Below are 21500 nucleotides of genomic sequence, written 5' to 3' on the forward strand. Positions count from 1 at the left end.
TTGTTTCTCAATATTATTATTCAATAGCTGTTAATCGAATGTAATTAAACAATAGATCTAATTAAATAGTAGGTTTTAATTTTAACTATAAAATAATTAGAATTTTATAACTTACTATTAAAATTTATTTTTAAACTGAATCACACTGATTAAAGTATTTTTATGTTAAAAATGATAATTTGTTAAAATGTCATAAAAATTTTAGGAAGTTATTTTTTCCTGTTTGTCCTAGTATTAAAAAAACAGTAATGAGTAGTACTAAAAGTAGTACTAAAAACCAGTGTTACTACTGAGTGGTACTTTTTTTTTTTTTTTAATACTAGAACAAACAGGAAAAAATAGCAAATTTGTACATTCATTCATTCACTCCGTAAACTTTTACTGAGTTTCACCTGAGCCAGCCGAGTGCCAGGCACTCTTGAGGCACATTGGTGAGGAGGAGGAAAAGTGCTGCTCTTAGAGGGAACTGAGTGCACTGTCATGAGCTTTAGATGCTAAGGAAAAATGCCCACCTTTCCCCTTCTAGACCATGCTCCTGTTACTTACGGCCCCGATATTGTCTTCCCATCCTACTCTGCGATGCTTCCAATGACTTGGTAGTTCTCTTTCCCATGTATGACCATTTTTTTTCCCGATATGTAAAGAGGTTATCATTGTTGTTTCCATCTGTGATAAACGTTAAGAATTAAATTTCTATTTACATTGATAGAAGGAAATACAACTTCCTAGAAAACTCACACAATGATGTACATAACAGTGCTGTCTTTCGAAGCAAAACAATGTGTAGTACACCCAAGTGTCCAACATTGTCTTATTCTTAAGTGAAATATTGTGTATTCACATGTAAGTGTGGATATATAATATATAGTATATCCTCATAATGTATTTTTAAAAGAATATATAATTGCTTGGGGAAAAACATAATAGATTTTTAAGTGAAAAACATAATAAATGCAATAATTTTAAGGAATACGTAATTACCTGGGAAAAGACCCATAATATATTATTAAATGAACAAATAAGATATAATCATAAATATAATGATTCTCATTTTCAAATAATTTTACCTACATAACACAAAGGGAACATTTTAGAGTATACACAAATTTTCCCATTCTTAAAAATCTCAAATATGTATGACTTACATAATCGGAAGCAAGCAATAAAATTTATTATAAAATTAGCACTTTTCAAAAGATCATATTGTAAATTGATTAACATTTACAAATATGGATTTTGAAAAATGGTAATCTTAACAAGTAGACAAAATTGGTATATTTGCAATAAGAGAATGGATAGATGCAGTAGTATTTCTCAAAAACAAATAGTATTATAATGTCTTTAGGAAATTGCATTCATGTATTACCATACATGTGCCTAGAAATTCCCCCAAAATTATTTTTTGAAAACTTTATATATGAATTACATACTGTTAAGTGGTTATAATTAGAAATAGTTACATTAGAAATTTTGCTCCTTAGTGTCAAAATATATAAAATCTAATTCATAACATTAAAGGTTCATTTTATCCCAGCCAGAAGAGGCATACATTGTATTATTTATTGTAGTATGCCAAGTAGTACTTTTGAAAATATGTACCTTTTGTATAATTATGAAACTTTTAATTAGAGTAACCTGTGTATTTTGATTAACTAGACTGGAGGATCTACTGTGTTCCCAAAGTGTCTTTCATAACTGTAGTGATTACTGATTTGAACAGTTTCTAGATTTCTACAATGCCAGCCTGGGTTATAGGAGAGATTTGGGCAGGAACTGTGCCAGGAAATCTAACCTTCAGAAAGAACAGAGAGTGAATGAATAGGTGATAGATTATAATAAGTATTTGGTTCCAAGTAACAAAACATTTAAATATGGCAGCTCCTAAGGGATCCCTGAGAGGAGGAGATAGCAGGAGAAACCCAGGGGAGGGAGAAACTGTGTGGAGAAGTTGACAGATATCCAGTACTGCAGGGAAGAATAGACAATGCCAGAAAGGGATCTGAAGCTGGTGGTGAAGACTTGACCTTCACCTATGATTACAGAGCTAAATGTTCACTACAGGTGGAATCATTGTATATCCCAAATATTCATTATTTTAAAAACATGTATGTATGTATTTATTTATTTAGAGAGGGAGTCTCGCCCTGTCACCCAGGCTGGAGTGCAATGGCATGATCTCGACTCACTGCAACATCTGCCTCCCAGGTTCAAGCAATTCTGCTGCCTCAGCTCCCAAGTAGCTGGGATTACAGGGACGTGCCACCACACCCGGCTAATTTTTTGTATTTTTAATAGAGATGGGTTTTCACCATGTTGGACAGGCTGGTCTCAAATTCCTGACTTCATGATCTGCCCGCCTTGGCCTCCCAGAGTGCTGGGATTACGGGTGTGAGCCACCGTGCCCGGCCTAAAGAAACATTTATTAATCTAGTACTCAATCTTGGTTAATAATTAATCATCTTAATATATGAAATATGTTAAAATATTTATATAATATTAACACAATGGAAAATTTTCCATTTTTTCCTTATGATAATTTTCAATAAGAATGAAGAACTTCTACATACCACACAATGTGGTATTGAAATTTTTTAATCTAAATTATTGTTGTAAAGAATATTCACAACCTAGGATTAAGAGTGAACAGAGGCCGGGTACAGTGGCTCACATCTGTAATCCCAGCACTTTGGGAGGCCAAGGCAAGCAGAACGCTTGAGCCCAGGAATTTGAGACCAGCTTGGACAATGTGGCAAAACCCCATCTGTATAAAAAATACAAAAATTAGCTGGGTTTGGTGGCATGTGCCTATGGTCCCAGCTACCCAGGAGGCTGAGGTAGGAGGATCTCTTGAGCCCAGGAAGTTGAGGCTGTAGTGAGCTGAGATCATCCCACTGCACTCCAGCCTGGGTGACAGAGTGAGACCCGGTCTCTGGAAAAAAAAAAAAAAAAGTGAGCAGAGGCAAAATACACATAGTAGGTGGTCCTTCTTAAGTGGATGATGATCTAGTTAAGACTTAGAACTAAACAGAATACAATTTATAAGCAGGCAAATTAGAAAGTGAGAAAAATATGTGAAGTCAGTTATTAACCAAAAGTTATTTTAAGTACACTGAGTCAAAGTTCAGAAAAGGGCTATTGTTATGGTTATGGTGTTTTCAAACATTACACTAGGCAAAGGAGTGTACCAATTGCAGCCATCTCTCTCTCTACTTATTTTTTATTTTGTTTAATTTTAACATAACTTCATCTTACATCTGCACTTCATGAAACATTCATTCAACATCTATGTAATGAACAATTTTTTTTTTATGATAGACAACCAGGTGAGCCAAGAACCAGGATGTGTGGTAGGCATTGTTACCATTCTTTTGTAGATGATAAAATGATTCACAGAGATGAAATCACTCATTTGGGGTTACAGTTAGTACATCAAAGAGTTAGCATTGGTGGCTGGGTGCAGTGGCTCACGCTTGTAATCCCAACACTTTGGCAGGCCAAGGCGGGCGGATTACAAGGTCAGGAGCTCCAGACCACCCTTGCCAACATGGTGAAACCCTGTCTCCACTAAAAATACAAAAATTAGCCAGGTGTGGTGGCACGCCCCTATAATCCCAGCTACTTGGGAGGCTGAGGCAGAATTGCTTGAACCCAGGAGGGGGAGGTTACAGTGAGCCAAGATCACGGCACTGCATTCCAGCATGGGCGACAGAGCAAGACTCCATTGCAGGGGGGGTAAAAAAAGCATTGGGATGAGAGGTCTGGTCTATTTGTGTCAGAGTCCTGTGTGCTTCTACACAAGATAGTTTGTGTGCCTGTCTGCATGCATGTGTATACAAAAATCACGCCCCGCAATTATGTACACAGTCACACATATCAATCTCTTAGTAAAATGACAAGTCTGGGCAGTGTCACTCACTGTACCTTGGAATCCTAATTTTTTAACCTTTGCTTCCGCCACCTAGGTTTACTATTCCTCTCCCATGTTTTATTCTCATACCTGCCACCCTAAGTTTATTGTGTACCATGGAGACTAGTATGAGAATGAAGATTTGAAATACCTTTAGTTCATGAGGCATTCTTCAGATATTTTCTGTTTCCTTTTATTGAGGATATTTTCTTTTAGGTGAGAAGAGAAAAAGGTATTGGGTCTGTTCTGTTTTACTATTGATTGTTTTCACTTAAATAATGATAGCCAATTTTTATACAAAGTTTTCATCTCAGCAGGCAAATGTATTCAGATGAGCACACACACTAAAAAGCTTGCCTTCTGTTTCTATGATTAATTGAGATGTAGAGAATGATGGGTGTGGGGTAAAAATGGAAAGGTAATTAGTGTAACTAGGCATGAAATACATTCATATACAAGCAGAACCTCTCCCCAGCTAGTGATCTTTTTCTGGGCTCTGAGGATTTGCATCCCATTAGTAAGTCACTGGCATGGAAATCTTCAGCCTTTGGGGAGACCAGAGCATTAAAAATAGAATTAACTCTAACTGCAAACGGAGTCAGCACACTAGGCCATTAATTCTTCTGCTTGGGTATATATCATGCTGAGCTTCTGTGTGTGGGCTTCTGAAATGTTAGGAGTGAGTTTTATAGAGCATTGCCAGGACTAAATGATAGTTATCTATCATCTCATCTCTCACCCTCACTACTGAGATTTTAATATCTCTCATGACCCAAAACCTGAAATACAGGCAGAAGGTTTTGCTAGAAACATTAAGTAGGGGCCTTTCTTTAGAGAAGTTGTATACTGTATATTTTGTTAACATAAATCTATGTTGTGCTTTACAGTATGTCAGAGATTCCTTATTTTCAAAACCTTATGTCCTCAGATCATCACAATGCCTCAAATGTTATCCTTTCTAAAACTGAGAATTATGCCTTTTTGCATAACTCCACCAACTAATGATAAAAGTTGCCTAGTGTTATTATTTTTAGAAATATTAGTGGTATTGGAAACATTTTAAAATCAACTTCCAAGTATAAAATTTATTGAAACATTTAATATATACAAGCTACATAGAGTACTCTCAATTTCTAATAATCTCTCTTTTCTTTTCTTCCCTTACCCTTCTCCAGCTTCTTTGGGAATCTCTGACAGATATTATTTTCTTTAGTCATCCCAGAGCAGTACAATTATTAACAGCTGCCATTGACTGATTGCCTGTCCCAGGGTTTCTCATACTTCGCACTATTAACATTTGGGTAAAGATAATACTTTGTCATGGGATGCTGTCCTGTGCTTTGTAGGATGTTTGGCAGTACCCCTGGCCTGTACCCATACCAGATGCCTGTAGCAGCTCTCCATACTGATGACCAAAAATGTGTCCAGATATTGCCAAATGTCCCCTGGAAGAGAAATCTTCCCTGGTTGTGAACCACTGGCCTATTCTCTACTAGTCACTATTTCATTTGATCCTATAGTAGCTGCAAGATATGTGGGACTGGCTGGGTGCAGTGGCTCACACCTGTAATCCCAGCACTTTGGGAGGCCGAGGCGAGTGGATCACCTGAGGTCAGGAGTTCGAGACCATCCTGGCCAACATGGTGAAACCCTGTCTTTACTAAGAATACAAAATTAGCCAGGCATGGTGGCACATGCCTGTAGTCTCAGCTACCTGGGAGGCTGAGGCAGGAGAATCTCTGGAACCCAGGAGGCGGAGGTTGCAGCAGTGAGCCAAGATCGTACCACTACACTCCAGCCTGGGCAACAGAGCGAGACTCCATCTCAAAAAAAAAAAAAAAAAAAAAAAAAAAAGATATGTAGGACTATATTAATCAGGATCCTGGCAGGGAACAGATCTTTGCAGCGTGGGTCATAGACTTTTATGAAGGGACTACTTAACAAGGAAGTTAGTAAGGTTAAATGAACTGCTTAGGGAAGTGGGGGTACCCAGAAAATAGCAATAGTGGGAGGTCATTCCCACAAAGAAGAGAGGGGAGGAAATTTTTCCTGGAGTGCTGGAGAGCTGGAGCCCTGGAATAGTGGCTTCCAGAGGGAGATGAAGTCAGGAAGAGACATAGCCATGGCCAGTTATGCAGCACTGTGACAGGGAGAGTGTAGGACAGCCTGGCCTCTCCCTCCTCCTTAATTCTTTGGCCACCAGCCTGTCCTGCCAGTAGATTAAGCCCAAGTGAAATCCAACCAGCAAAGAACTAGAGTGTTGCAGCTCCAGGATTCAGCCCCCATGGGCTTAGAGAAGGAAGGACAATTGAATCTGTTGGGGGGAAAATGAAGAAAATCCCTCCAACATCCCCATTTTAACATGAGAAATCGAGGTTTAATGATATAAAGTAATTCATCCAGGCATCTATTTGACTCCAGGCACAATGAAGGTATCATCTTAGTTGGTCTGTGTGAATGAACTGATGTTCAGCAAGACTGTGAATTATTCAAGGTTACTGATTTTAGTAGGTGGTAGATACAAGACTAAAACCCAGTTCTCATTCCTCTTCTGGTGTTTGCTTTTTTATGTTGACCATTGAAAGAAATCTGAGAGCTCTATATCTGGCTGATTCTCAAGTAGACAAACAGGAGTGAAAGCTATCTGCTGACCTTAAAAATCATTTCTTTCTGAAAATCTTGGAAAATTCTAGGTTTCATCTAGAATGTTTAAATGGCATATGCTATTTTTCCAATCTGTCAGCACATTTTTATCTTGATTGCAGACACTCAGCCCCAGCTGATGCAATATATTAGGAGAGGGAGGAGGACAAGACTGAGAATAAGGAGATTTGGGGCCCAGTTCTGGATCAGCCCCTCTTAGCTGTATAACTAGCCTTCAGAAATAGTACCAATAATATGTTTCATAAACCCTTCCCTTCTACATTCACCCAGATCTTCACAGTTATTCTCAGGTATCTAATTGGAAAGGCTTTAAGCTATGTTTCACAAATGAAGAATCAGGCTTAGAAAGCACTATAATCTCACTGCAAATTTCATAACAGGAAAGTTGTCCCATGCAGACTGAATTCACATCCCTCAATGAAAATGCATGGTCTTTTCTAGTCCACCCACTGCCTTTTGAAGTGATCAATTGATTTACTCCCTATGGACTGCCAGTTTGCAGCATTTAATCCATTAGGTTGCATTATAAAATCATATCTCCATCTAAGTTCTGAGAATCTATGATTTCCTATGGTTATTAGCAAGGCTACAGAGGATACCAATGTAGTTAGCACCTAGGGATTCATGGTTCTTTATTTTTCCTTTCTAGGTTTTAGATAAATATATTTATTATCTATAACTTTTTGGAGGCAAGATCAATATTTTTGAAGTAATTTAAAAATACATGTGTACATGAAAACATATCTAAGTACATTAATACAGTCCCAGTATCTCACTTTATTCCTGGGTAAGTTGGGGGTTAGAAACTGAGATAGATTCCTACACTAAGGTGAAGTGTGTTGCCACTACTGGAAGATCTGGCAAGAATCCTAATCCTTTCCCAAATTGGTTGGTTTGTTTGCCTTCATGTGGGAGTCCCGGCAAGTGATACATTTCAGATCTCTATCACTTTGAGCTTGTGCTCACCCCTGATCTCTGCCCCACCTTTTGACACCCTACTTTTACAGCATTTTCGGGCTTTTGGTTTTTTTATCTTTTCAGTATTTTCAAGCATAAAATCAGGTTTACAATACAAAAAAAGTAGCTTTATTTTTTGTATCTGAACTTCATTTTTAAGTTCCTATTTCACCAAGCCAATTCCAAGAAAACATATAATGCAAGAGTTCTCCATCGAAGCTTAAAGCAAAAAGTATAGATATTTGAAGACTAAAACAACAAAAAAAGTGGAGAAGAATTGTAAGTTCTACCTTTGATATCCCTTGTGGTCTGTCAAAAATATAAATTCCCTCAAAAATATTTTCACTGATAAAATCTGGCTACATTATAACATTGTGTCTGCTCTAGATGATTAGTGGTGCTTTGGGAAAAACTATTTTATAATTTTTATGATGATAATACATAAGGAAAGCTGGAAGAGCAACATTTTCAGTATTTAGAATAGACTTATGCCAGACTACCTGGGTACAGAGCCTGGCTTCATCTCCTTTTACCTCTGTAACCTTGGGCAAGATACTTACCCTGTCTGTCTGTTTTGGTTTCCTCATTGATCTAATCAAATTATAAATAGGCATAGGCTTTCCAGATGTTTTTATGGTTAAACAAGTTGATATTGATAAAACATTTAGAATAGTACTGGAACATAAAAAAGACTATATAAATGTTAATTGTTATGAGAAATATCCTTTTCATGATGATCATTACCACCACCATCACCACCATCCACTTCTGCTGCACAGAGATGCAATCCAATGTTTCCATTCTTCTAAAGTATAATTATTTTGAAATAAGTGGTATTATTTTAAAAATAGTGAAGCTCTGTAATAAGCTTCACTGTTTAGAATATGAAATAAATGGTAACATACATGTGAATAATGTGCATTTGTATTATGGAATATATAACCTAACTCAGAACCTTCAATTCGAAGACTTAGCCACCTTTTCTTTCCAGCTGATAGTATACTGCATGTATAGAATGTCTTATTTGCATTGATTCTAGTTGGTTTGGTGTCATTACACTGAGTATGTTTCCCCAAGGTTTTAGATTAGAAACTACTGACAAAGAAATATTCCAGGAGTCAGAATTAGACATAAATTATATGCTGCAGAGGTGTCTTCTTATTACCACAAGCCAGGTCAGAGTCTCTAAAATCACATTCAGTTACTCTTTTAGTGGTTATTAAGTTTCACCCTTGAGAGAATTAAGAGGCCTGACAATGAAGTATAATAAATCTTACTGTGACCCAAACACAATTAGTAATTAAACTTCCCATTAACAATCCCAAATCTGCTAGATAAAATAAGTAGAAAACTTATATTTTTGTTTACTTTTTACTTTCATATTTAGAGAAGTTGAAAAAAGTTTCACAGATTTCATAAAAATAATTGCAATATTTGCCTGTTTCATTAATGTAGAGTCAATGCCTCATTTATGTGCTTGGGTTTTTCATTTGAGAATGAGAATGGACCAAGAAAAGGGTGAGACTTTTTTTTTTTTTAACACATGAGCAATTGGCTCTCTATTTTTTTAATTTTTATCTATTTTTTTTTTTTTGTCTCAATCCCCAGCCTCTGAGCCCAACTTGAAGGTGCGGTCCAGGTTAAAACAGAAAGTGGCAGAGAGGAGAAGCAGCCCCTTACTCAGGCGGAAGGATGGAAATGTTGTCACTTCATTCAAGAAGCGAATGTTTGAGGTGACAGGTAATTGAGGACTGGGCAGACCTATGAATGCTGGGAGTAGGAATGAAAAAAAAATAGTTTAGAATAAATATACCTGCTGCATATTAAAAGTTATTTTGAGAAGAAATATTTCTTGAAAGGAAATTATATTGAAAACTCACAAGTAGTTCAATAAACCTTGCTATGCATTCACCAACTGTGTTAAACAGGAAATGAATGAAAAAACAGAAGTATGTGTCAATCAAGGCATAACTAGGGAACACCAAAGCTCACCTTATTCTTTTCAGGAACAGGCAGTCCATTTTGGGAATGCCAACCAGGAGAATATAATTTTTAATGAAATTTGATCAGAAATGAGCAGAGGGAGGTCCAAGAAGAACACTTTCCCCTGTACTCAGACATGAATGTACAAAATACATCTGGGAAAATTAAACTACATGGAACAGCAAAACCTTGACTTTTCAACAAATTTACAGAACTCATAAATGACTTTATGTGTTTACTAGTGAAGTGGGACTTATGGCAGGAGGGGGATATATTGCTTTTTATGAAGGGGAAGAAACTGTCATTTTCATGGGTCTCAAATGGAAGAGTTATTTTTTTAGCTGCCTGTTTTAGTAGAGGGGTTAGGAAATTCAACCTGAGGTCTTACAACACCCCTAGTTCCAGTTGTACCTGGTTTGAAATGAAAGACCTAAGGCTGTAAGAACCAAAAATACTAGCCAAAATACTTCTACTTACTACTGTTTTTTGAGTACCTACTTAGAGTCAGGTACTGTATCTAGTTGTTTCCTTTGGTTGCATGAAGAAAGAAGTGGTAATCTGCAACCCCTTTTTTTTCCCATTCTCAAGGAAAACTGTGCTTATACCAATGTGGGCAGTTGGTATTAGTTCTCCAAGATCAGATCTTATTTTTAGTAAGTTTTAAAAAAATTCTTTATTTTCTGTATAACTCTTTTGGCCATGACAGTGTCTACAGGAAGGCAATATAGAGGAAGACTGTGGAAGTGGTGGTAGAAACGTGTATTTAGGTTCTAATGCAACCTGAAAGTTTGGCCGATAATTTTTGGAAAATAATATTTAGTCTCCTATTCAATCTGGACAACTTTATATGCTTATCTGAAGAAAAGTGTTAGTGATTTCAATGGAAAGTATTTCCTTGGGATAAGAAATATTAAATCTGAATAATAAATACAATTATTTTACTAGAGTTTATATGTATTATCCAACATTAAATATAATCACTAATTTAGACGAATTGAATTCTAAGTTTGGAGTTACAGACTTTTTTCCCAGGAAATACTATTGTATGTAAGTAAATAAAAATCTTAGGTTTTTCTAATAGAGGTCTTTGATGGGGGTGGGCAGTTGAGGAGTGAATTTGTTTTAATGAATGTGAAGAATTATAAACCTATCAGGTGTCTAATGTAAATGTAGATAGGTGGTTTTTCTAACTGCAGAAAGTAAGCCCCTTCTAACAGCAAAACTTCTAGAAAAGACAAAACTGAATATAATGCTATTTTATTTTGCTTCATAGTCTTAATGTCTGAAGTCATATTTATTTATCCCAATGTGCTTTTCTGTGTTCCTGTAGTCTGTTTTCTTGATCATAGCTTTTTCTACACAGTCACTTTTTCTTCCGTACCAAATTGCAGTGGCATTTAGCTCAATACCTATCTCAGTAATGATTGGTTCTTATTTATAAGGATTATGATTTACCAGAGTTTTACTCGAATTTCCTTAAATTTAAAATATATTTCTCTTCTTAATTTCGTGAGATAAGCACTCGCCCTTTCACCTCAGGAAACAATATGTATTGGAAGAGAGACTTGTACATTTATTAGAAAGACATTTCTGGTGAGTGGACTTACGGATGCTTTGGTAGATATTTTTAACTGGTATACCGCACTTACTCGAAATGTCTTTGGAGGCTCCGGACTACTGACACACAGCTGTCTTCACCTGTACTCCTTCCCATTGCTCTGCCAACTTTCATCTAGTTTGGATGAGATTTGTTTGGATCTTAATACTAAATATTTTTAGTATCTAGTCAGAGACTATCATAACATCAGAGCAGTTCAGTTGCTTTTGCTGTTATCCTCTTACCTCTATGTCTTTTCTCTCTTCCCCATTTCATAGATTAAAGTGTAAGCTCTTTTCAAACTCATTCCACTCATTGACATGGGAACCCACTTGCCATCTTTTTTTTTCAAATTCAAGTATTTTCTGCCCCCTACAAAAAGTCCTGTTCTTTTCAAATGTTAAAATTGACTCCCCCTGTGCCTGCAATGCCTTCTCTGCCATTCTCCCTACTCCAACATCCTTATTTCATTGGCTACCCTTCTTCAAGCTCCAGTTCCAATATCATACACTGAGATCAGAGATCTCAGAAAATCAGTTGCTATCTTCTCCCAGATCCCATCCAGTGTCATGTCATAGAATCCTCTGGTACAGTAGTTGTTGCCCTGAATTCTAGTGCTTATCACAGTGATTTCTACATAAGGAAATACTTCAGTCTTAATATCATAAAATAATATAAATATTATAATTTAAAATTGGTAAGACAGAATGTTTAAGAAAGTAGTTTTTAAAAAATATGGAAATGGAAATGATATGGAAATGAGACATTAATGAGAAATCAGTCATATTGTAAAGACGAGAGTTAGGAGTTGGGAAAAAGAAGCTCCTGTAAGAATTTTTAAATTCTACATTTCCTTTGTTAAAGTAAAACCAGAGGTGATGATTAAAAAAAATTAATCAAAATATAAACCAGATATATAGACAGAAAGGCAGTGAGCAAAATGTGTTTAAGTATTTTATTATACTAATAATTTGCTCAAATCCCACAGTAAATAAGTGGCAGGATTAGAATTCTTACATTAACCTCACATTCTTTCCAGTGGTACTGCATTTCTGAGTAGAGATTTAATTATAATACAAGTTGAGAGTTATAGGTGTTCTGAGAGAGGGTAAGAAAATATTGCTTGGAAACTGGGTGTTCCCTTTCTCTGAGGGACATACGTTATATGAGCCAGGCTTGGACCTTATAGGTGGGATTCGGCCTGCAATGAAATGGAAAGAAAGGAGGATACAAAAGCATGAACTGGAAAAGTATTTGGCATGAAAGGAGAATAGGTGATTTAATTTGACTGAGTGTAGAGTACAGAAAGGGCAATGGTGGGAAATAATATTAGGCTCTATTTTGGAGCAGAGGGACATGGTGTGAGTTATCTCTGTCTGATCCTTTTGCAAGAGTTTGAAAGAAAGGTTTGAGAGACTACTGTAGTGACTCAGAAATATGAGCAGACTTTTGCTATAGTTCTTGACAGAATAACAAGGCCTTAAACTGAAATGATTGTAGTCAGACATAGATGGAGAGATAGTGTAAAGATCACATTAAAAGGGCCTAGTAACTAATTAGATTTGCAGTAAAGAGAGAGTGAGGATGACTCTAGGGTGATGAAAAAATAGAGATATGCAGGAAACAGTTAATATTAAAATACATACATTGAGTTTTACACATATGTAGGGGAGCTTGGAAGGTCCAGCTTTCAGAGGAATTTGGGCTGGAATTTATGAGTTAAAGGCAAGAAATGTGACTTTCCTGAGATAATTCTGCCCCAAAATGACATATGAAGTCATGATACTGAGTGATTTTGACAAGGGAAATAGAAAAGGGATAAAGTCACAAACTTAGGTGAATGTCTGAATTTAGGAATTGGTAGGAGGAAGAAAAGTCAAAGAGATGGGAAGACAAACATGGATGTAGAGAATGCCACTGTAGAAAGGATGTGGAAAGGAATGTTTTCTCTGAGGCCTTCAAGTGTGGTGGCATTTGAGAGAACAGTTGCAGTTAATAGTGGGTAAGCTATATTGCCAAGGCTTGAAGAAGTGAGTGGACATTGTGAGAGCACACCATTTCTCAAGAATTACTAGCATGCTGTCAGACTAGAGGGGCAATTCCAGTGTAGGAGGAGGGCCTGAAGATTCCACCTAACTAATCCTTTTAGGATTTTTTTAAGGGGATGGGATCATGGGTAAGACTAAATGTGTGAGCGTTAGAGAGGAAGAGAAATGCCTTATATTTGAAATGGGAAAAGAGAATGTAGATAACATAATCATGAGTAGAAAGAAAAGATGCTGGTGGAAATCATATCAAAAATCCTGTCTCTGAAAAGCATGAGGCAAGATCATTTGTGCAGAGTTGGGTTGACAAGGTGTAATGATGAGGCAGCTAGGAAGATTTTGAAATGAGTGAAGTGTAGAAGGTGGTAGGGAATTAATTAGAGCTGAATAAATAATTTGCCAAAGCTTGATAAGATGACTTCTCTAGCTATATTTCTAGGAAATGGAAATTTATATTTTTGATTAAATGTTTTAATAAATGCATTAGTTTCTGCATAAGTTGAGGTACATGTGAATTTCATATCTGAAGAGGAAAGGATGGGTTAAATAAAGAATCTGTCTTGTTGTTGCCTGACTTTTGCTAAAAGGAATTTCTTGTTATATTGGTATTTACAAATCTACATGTTAAATTTAGGCAACTTCTCATTTTCTGGAAAATAAGTTGAGTAGAGTTAAAGTCAGATGGTCTTGTACAAGGTCATCAGTGCAATGTTGAGATTTTACATTCTATTGTATTTTCTTCATATAACTTGAACTAGTATATGCAATAATAAGGTATAGCCTTAGTATATTAAATAAAAAACAATTTACAGCACAGCATTTGAACAATTTTTTTCAGACCTAATGGAATGGGTCTGAACCTCATGGGTTAACGACTTGTCTTTTGATGTGCACAAGTTCATTGTCTTCATTACTGTTATTTTCTGTAATAGCATAAGAGCAAGTAAGAAAAGATTCCTTTCTTCAGTTTTTTTTTTTTTTCTCATTCAAAGCTCCTGTGACCCTCTCTAACTGGATATCTTTACTTCTCTAGAAACTGTTGAACACTATTTAGTATGTTTTGCCATGAAAACAAAGGAGGAATAAGTGGTATGAAAATTCAGAGTTACTGCAGAAATTTTTAGTTCTTTCTATTTTGTGAAATAGTGCTTGCATTTACATAGGGGGAAAATAACATGCCCAATGTTACATGTTACAGTAACTAAAGTTCATCTATGTATGTTCCTCATGAACACATTTGTACTTCACAATATTTTTCAGAATCCTCAGTCAGTAGCAGTTCTCCAGGCTCTGGTCCCAGTTCACCAAACAATGGGCCAACTGGAAGTGTTACTGAAAATGAGACTTCGGTTTTGCCCCCTACCCCTCATGCCGAGGTAAGACCCTTATTATTTTGTTTCTTTTAAAAACTGAATTTCTGATTAGCTACCTAATACAAAGTGATATTTCTGAGTTGACCTTCAATATCCAAATGATATTTATGAATTGAAGTTTACTCAGTTCCACATATTGTAAACCAATTGAAAAAAATTGATATTTACTAACTAATGTAAATATTATAAACCTATAAGAAATGAACTGATATTTATTAGCTGACATAAATAAATATCAATTTTTTTCTTACAGATTTTTTCTTATTTATGGAATTCAGTAAAATTGATCTTATTTATAAATCAGACAACCAAAGATGTTTGGAAGGCAATCTGGGCTTGAAATGTAATCCTCAGTCAAACATTCTTAGTGATCCTCCGTGCACACTGCCTGACAATTATGTAACTTACTAGTCCCTCTGCTTGGTTATTGGTTGTGCCGATGTGAGTAGACACATCAGTAAGTAAAAACAACTCGTACAGGCCTCTCAGAGGAAGAACCTAGCGAGGTGGATTTTTATCCATTTGAACTGAAAAGTGATGAAAAATAATTGCAGTATTATAGTTGAAGGGTGTGAAGCTTCACTGAGCAAACATTTTTTGAGCACCTGCTATATTCAAGTCATTTTGCCTCACAGTAGGGATATAAACATGGACAAGATATGAACTCTATGTTTGAAGAATGACATATTAAAGGATATTAGTTTAAAGTAACACATGATTTAGTGTAACCAATGATACAAGACTAAGAGGAAAGTTAATGTAAAAGTCAGCAAGAATTTGTCTATGTAGTTTCTGTATAAGGCTATCAAAGGCAAGAGTCTGAAAATAGCCACTCATGAAATCACCTGTTTTGAAGTCATCAACAATTGACTGAAAGCCTTATTTTTGTTTCTGTTATTATGCCTTCTTCACTGTGCATTGCTCTGTGCAAGGAGAGCTGGTGCGTTAACTTCTAATATATAACATACTTCTTTTGTTATATTTTATAGAGTCATGGTACCTTGAGACAGAAAGGGACTGGTCAAGTCTCTTATTCTTGGATCATCTCCATAGCTTTTCTACCATGTGGTTATCCAGCCTCTGTTAGAACACTTCTGCTTATAGGGAGCTCACTTCACTGTCTCCTGAGGCAACCCAGTTGATTTTAAATAGTTATTTTGACTGATATGTCTCTGTACAGCTATTGCTCTGTAATTTCATATATTTTATACACACAAACACAATATGATATGTATAATAAATTATTTATAAGTTATGAAATTATCAGGTCAGAATATAATAAGTGAAGGCAGAAATCCAGAAGTTGTCTCTGATGAGCAAAGGACTGAAGCCAGTAAAGTCAGTTTTGCTCTAGGCACATTTGCACACTTGAGTTTTGAGCTTTGGTTTTCAGGGCCTCAGAAACTCAAGAGATAGAAGATAAAGCCTAGTACCAACCAGGGAGGATAATCTAATAGGAGATCCTGCAAACACTAAGCTGACACCCCAGAGGCCTGTATCTATGTTACATTGATTAGTTGACTGCCCCTCTTACTGCTGTGTCCCCTGCCAGCCCCCCCTGCCCTGGGCTGTCTGATGTGGAACAGAGCAGAGGGCAGATCCTCTCTCTCAGATGTCGTAACCACAAGCTAGTCCTTGTGTAGATCTGTAGCCCAAATCATATAACCTCAAGCTGTTAACTTGACTTATCATGGCACCACATTTGTAGTTCCCACGTTAGGAGTCTGCACAAAGCAAACAAAAACTCCCCTGGAGGAATATACCTTCCTTCTAGATTTCAAAAATTTCCCTCAAATAAGTTTCCAAGAAACATGAGCAAAATATCTAGATGCTGTCGTTTGACCATTTTCAGCTATTTAAAGAATAGTAATTCTGGCCTCTACATGGTCTTCAGGTCCCGCATCTATTTCTTACTTACTATCCTGTTACCCCTCTTTATCTTTTTCTTTATCCTTTCAAAAACATGATAGCAGATGGAATAAATACTTTGTTTATATTTGCAGCCAGAGACATAAGTGGAGTTATTGGGTTATTAGTTGTAGATAGCATCTTTTTGTTAGTGCAGTTATATCTGGATATTGGTCCATTCTCTGCAACTATTTAGTAAATTTCCAGGAAAAGAACAACTTGGTTACAATTTTTTTTTTCAAAAAATTTTAGATTGTTGTTATCTCTCAGTATGAAGAGTGTAATTCTTAGTAACTGCAAAAACAGCAAAGGATCTGGGTTCTAATCAGTCCCTGGATGGATTTTGTGCCATTGAAAAATGAAAACAACACACTAGACTACATTCAGCAGCATGTATGATTCTGAGAAATGCATTGTCATTGCAATGTTTCAGAAGACCACTTACAACATGGGAGGATTTTATTAGGTTCAGAAATGGTAATACCATACTTTGATAATATGTAGTAATAGTATATTTTTAAGAGGCGAGAGAGTGATGAACACAAAATTTAGCATGATGATTACCTTTCAGGGGGGAAGAAGGGGGAAAACATGATTTGATAGTTACTAAAGAAGATACATATATTCCTTCATTGTAAATACATATGTATGTGCATATAGTATTTAGTACAACATATTGGAACAACCAGTAAGTATACATCAGTGAAGAAAGTAAATAAAAGATTTTGCTTATACTGTTTTAATCTGTTTTATATTTCTAAAGCCATAACTTGGCACAAATCATCTGTTTAGGTACCCTAGCTTTTCAGCTAATTGTTGAACATATTCTCTCACTGCAAACCTTTCCTTTCACCCCCACCATTAAAAAAAGAAAAACAAAACAAAACAGAGGGAAATGTGATTTAATGGAGTTTAAAAGGGTAGAGGTATTTCTTCAGGTCAGTGACAGGACATTCACCTCCAAATCTGGAAAGACGAGTTCAAAAGCAAGCAGTGACTTACCTCATAATGAATTAATTGTGTGCCTGAACTATGATCCAAAAGGCCAGGTGGGCAGACCTTTATGCACTGATGAGTAGCCTCTCTGTGGCCCAGAACAAAAAATGCAACCCTGATGGCTAACATGTGGTTTTCTGCTGTATTGCATTTACAGAGATCTATGGTGTAATTCATTCTCGATAGGTGAGGAGACAGCGGAATTTAGACTAAGACTGTCAGCAAATTAATATCCTAGCTTTTTAGCACTAAATGTTTCCACCCAAACTGGAGAAAAGAAAAAAAAAATTTCTTAGCCATAGTTGAGTAACCATCATTTAGAATTTAGGATGATTTTTACAGATGTCTCCTAAGATTGATAGTAGTACGGGATTTCATAGCAACAAATATTTTGGGGGTATGAATTATTTGCATAATATATTGCACTCTAAAAAAATGGTTGCATACTTTACCGTTTACAAAATTGGCTTATTTTACTGTTTTTGCTTAAGCAACACTGGTAAGTTTTCGTATTAAAGTAGTGTATATTTGAATGAAGTCTTTATTTTATGGCCTGTAAGTAGAAAAGCATGTCACCTAATTCAGAGCCCATGTAAATGAATGGGATTCTATCCTATTGTGCTGCTTCAGAAGTAGGAAAGTCAGGCTATATCTAAAGATCTTGAGCCCTAGATGAAAACAAAATTTTCTATCTTGTAATTCACATGTCCTGCCTAATTTAGATAAAGGGAAGACAGAAGTAGGAGGAGAATTTACTCATAAATTGAGGTTCAGGAAATAGCACATTGTAGTAGAATGTATGGGTGTTCCATTCAGAAGACTCAGCCTGAACCTGGCTCCAAAACCGGCTACCTTGTCATCATTGGTCAAGTTGTCAGACTTCCCCTGACCCCCAGATTCCTGATCTAGGAGAAGGTAGTACCGTAATACCTACACTAGCAGCTTTGTTTTAAGGAATCAGTGTTTGGAAGGCAGGTGGTAAATTGTGAAGTTCGGAACAAGTTCATTTTTTGTTGTTATTATCAGCGCTGACTCCTGGTAGGGAAAACTCATTAGCATGTTTGTCTTCAAGCCAGCAGCTCTCATGTGAGAGTGAGTCTCCATCTGCTCTGACCACTTCTGTTCCATTTCTTCTATTTCCTACATATGCTCAGTCCCAGAACTCAGATTGTTGGAGCTACTTGCTTTACTCATTTGTAAACTTGGTTGGGGAGCTGAAACCTCAGGGGTTTCTATTTCCAACTCCAGTCAAGGATGTCTTTACCTATCTAGTTACTTTATTGTTAATACTGTGGGCCTGTGGGTTCAAATATGTTTCCATGGATATCAACACTATTACTTTAGATTCAGTAGATTTATTTGATAGCTATTTTAACGGTAGCCAAGCTGCTGGTTTATTTCTAGTTGAACATTAGTGGCTGTCTCTGCTATGCTATTTTTTAAAATAAATTTTCCAGCAGATACAAATGCTTTTAAAAAAGGATTCTAATAATAAGGTTAAGTGTTCTAAAATCATCTGTAATGTCACTTGTTTTGCCCCAATCTCACATGACTCATCTGCCTGTTGTTTCATAATAGTTGTTGTGACATTTGCAGTAAATGTTATGCTCCCTTCTGAGTGGGTGTAGAGCTGTGGTTTTAGATAGCAGCAAATAAAACACGTTCCCCCCACCCCCAATTCAGGGAAAGGAGGTTGCTATGACAAAATAATCATTTACTAGGAATAACATGAGTCAATATTTTAAAGTAAGATCTTTAACAAAACATCAGTGCCTTTCAAATGCTAAGGAAACTCTGTCAAATGATCTTTCTTTTTTTGTTTTTTGTTTTTTGTTTTTTGGTCTCACAATATGTCTCACCATTTTATAGTAACACCTTCTTTGGTGTCCAGTAAAATGAAAACTTGAGAGATTTCTACTGCTTCAACAATTTTTTTAATTACGTGGAGATTTTAATTTTCTATGAGCTATCTGAAAGAAGAGTAGAAAATAAATACAATCTTGAAAAATCCCATGAAAACCATAGGCAAATATTAAATGATTGAGGCTTTTCTTTTTTAAAACGTGGCTATGTTCTTTTTAGATAGCCTGGATTCAGGGACTTGGGACCTTGTAAAGCCAAAGCTGATTGACACTCATAAGGATGTCTTCCTGTATGCCATTCTAATAGACACACATGTTACCTGATAGAGCTGGGCAGAGGTGCTTCAGTCTCAGGCTGAAGGTTCTGAAGTCCAGGGAAGTTGGGTGCTGCCCAGGGTTACAAGCTATGAGTGGGAGAGCTCAAGTATAAGACACTTAGGCCAGACTTCGTTTCACAAGTCCAGGCTGCTCCTCACCAAAATTCTGTGTGTATATATATATTTTTTCTTTTTCTGATTCTCATGCATATTGTAGATAATTTGGAATATACAGTAAACTGAAAATTCTATATCCACATTTCTGTGAGCTTTTTAAAATGTGAGTGATTACTGGCCAGGCATGGGGGCTCACATCTATAATCTCAGCAATTCGGGAGGCTGAGGTGGGAGGATAACTTGAGGCCTGGAGTTTAAGACGAGCCTGGGCAACATAGAAAGACCCTGTCTCTACAGGGAGAAAAAAAAAAACCTAACAAACATTAGCCAGGAGTTTGAGCCCAAGAGTTTGAAGTTACAGTGGGCCTTGATCGCACCACTGCACTGCAGCCTGGGCGACAGAGCAAGATCCTGTCTTAAAAAAAAAAAAAAAAAAAAAAAAAAAAAGGAAAAGTAGGTAATTATTTACATAACTAGTATAACTAGCATTCTGTCAAGGGCTATCATTGACTTTTTTGTCTTCTTAAGAGTAAGAAAAGTATTTGTTTATCTTCTTCTCTTTCCCTTCCTCCTTTTTTCCCTGCCTCCCTCCCTCCTTCCTTGGTTCCTTCTCTCCATCTCCTTTCCCCACTTTCATTTTCCTTGCTCCTGGAGGCATCATTCTCTCCCGTGTTCTTGTTTATATGAATTTTTACATCATATATATTTTTTACTTTGCATCCATGAGTTTTAATGGGATATAAATGGCACAATGTTATCTGCATCATTCCATTTTCTTGCTTTTATCACTAAGCCTGTGTTTTTACATCCAGACACCATGTCTTTATGGATGCAGAAGTCCAATGGTGTGCTTTCAATCACCACAAAAATCCATCGTGGGTGCTGCCGCGTACTGATGCCCCGAGGTAGATGTCCTGGTGCCCTTCAATATATACCATGGCCCATCATCCTACAGCTTAATGAGATAATTTCTCGAAGTTAGAATTCCCAGCAAAGCCATCACTGGGTCATGGTATACAGAATAATTATTTTGGTTTAAAGTTCAGCAGAATTGCTGTACCAGACTACTGTCCCACCAGCATCATATGAGAGTTTTTACCTTTCTGAATCCCTGTGGCAGTTGACATTGTCCATTTTTCTAATTATACCCAGTGTCCCTTCTGGAAGACATTCTCACTCTTTTAATTGAAATCAGTGGCTTAATTTAAATTCCACATAAATAGCTCTATTGAGAGGCATAATGTTCCAGTCCATGTGTTTTGTATTCATTTGAATTACAAATATTATTTATGAGATGCCCCTCCTATTGACATAACAGGAGAGAAATTAAATAAGATTTTGAAGAGCCTTAGTAAAATGTGAGTAGGCCACCCCTACCCCAGCACTTGGCCCATTTCATATCTCATGTCCCAACATAATGCTCCTTCCTCTAATTACAGTAATTATCACAAGTCAAAGAATTAGCTCTTTACTTTTCTGTGCACCTAACTACCATGTGAATTGGTGTTTTATAGGACATCTTTGTACGCCTTGCACCCAACACCATTAATCTAAGACAGAGAAGTTACCCGTTAATTGTTTTGTGAAGGTTAAACAATAGCCATTCATACATTTACTATATTCATTTTATCTAACCACAATAAAAATCTTTGGTTCTGAAAAATTTTCAGATTAAAACCGTCATTTCCATGTTCTAAACTGCAAAGTATTGGCATCATAGCAAAGCACTGATTTAAGGGCTGGGCCAGATTCAAAACTTCTTCTTGGAAAAATC

At 36.4% G+C, this 21500-nt stretch overlaps 1 protein-coding gene across 39 annotated transcripts in view; it reads left to right on the forward strand.

Annotated features, from left to right (window-relative positions):
- HDAC9 (histone deacetylase 9) overlaps positions 1–21500 on the forward strand; it is a 915592-nt gene that overhangs the window by 533389 nt on the left and 360703 nt on the right. For 20 of the 39 annotated variants that reach the window (NM_001321869.2, NM_001321870.2, NM_001321896.2 and 17 more), the window contains 2 exons: positions 9137–9268; positions 14414–14529. In NM_001321869.2, the coding sequence (NP_001308798.1) occupies positions 9137–9268; positions 14414–14529 (248 nt within the window). The remainder of the gene's footprint in view (positions 1–9136; positions 9269–14413; positions 14530–21500) is intronic. The other 19 variants (NM_001321868.2, NM_001204144.3, NM_001321872.2 and 16 more) reach the window with 1 other exon arrangement.

This window comes from Homo sapiens, chromosome 7 (assembly GCF_000001405.40).
Source record: "Homo sapiens chromosome 7, GRCh38.p14 Primary Assembly".
NCBI lineage: Eukaryota > Metazoa > Chordata > Mammalia > Primates > Hominidae > Homo > Homo sapiens.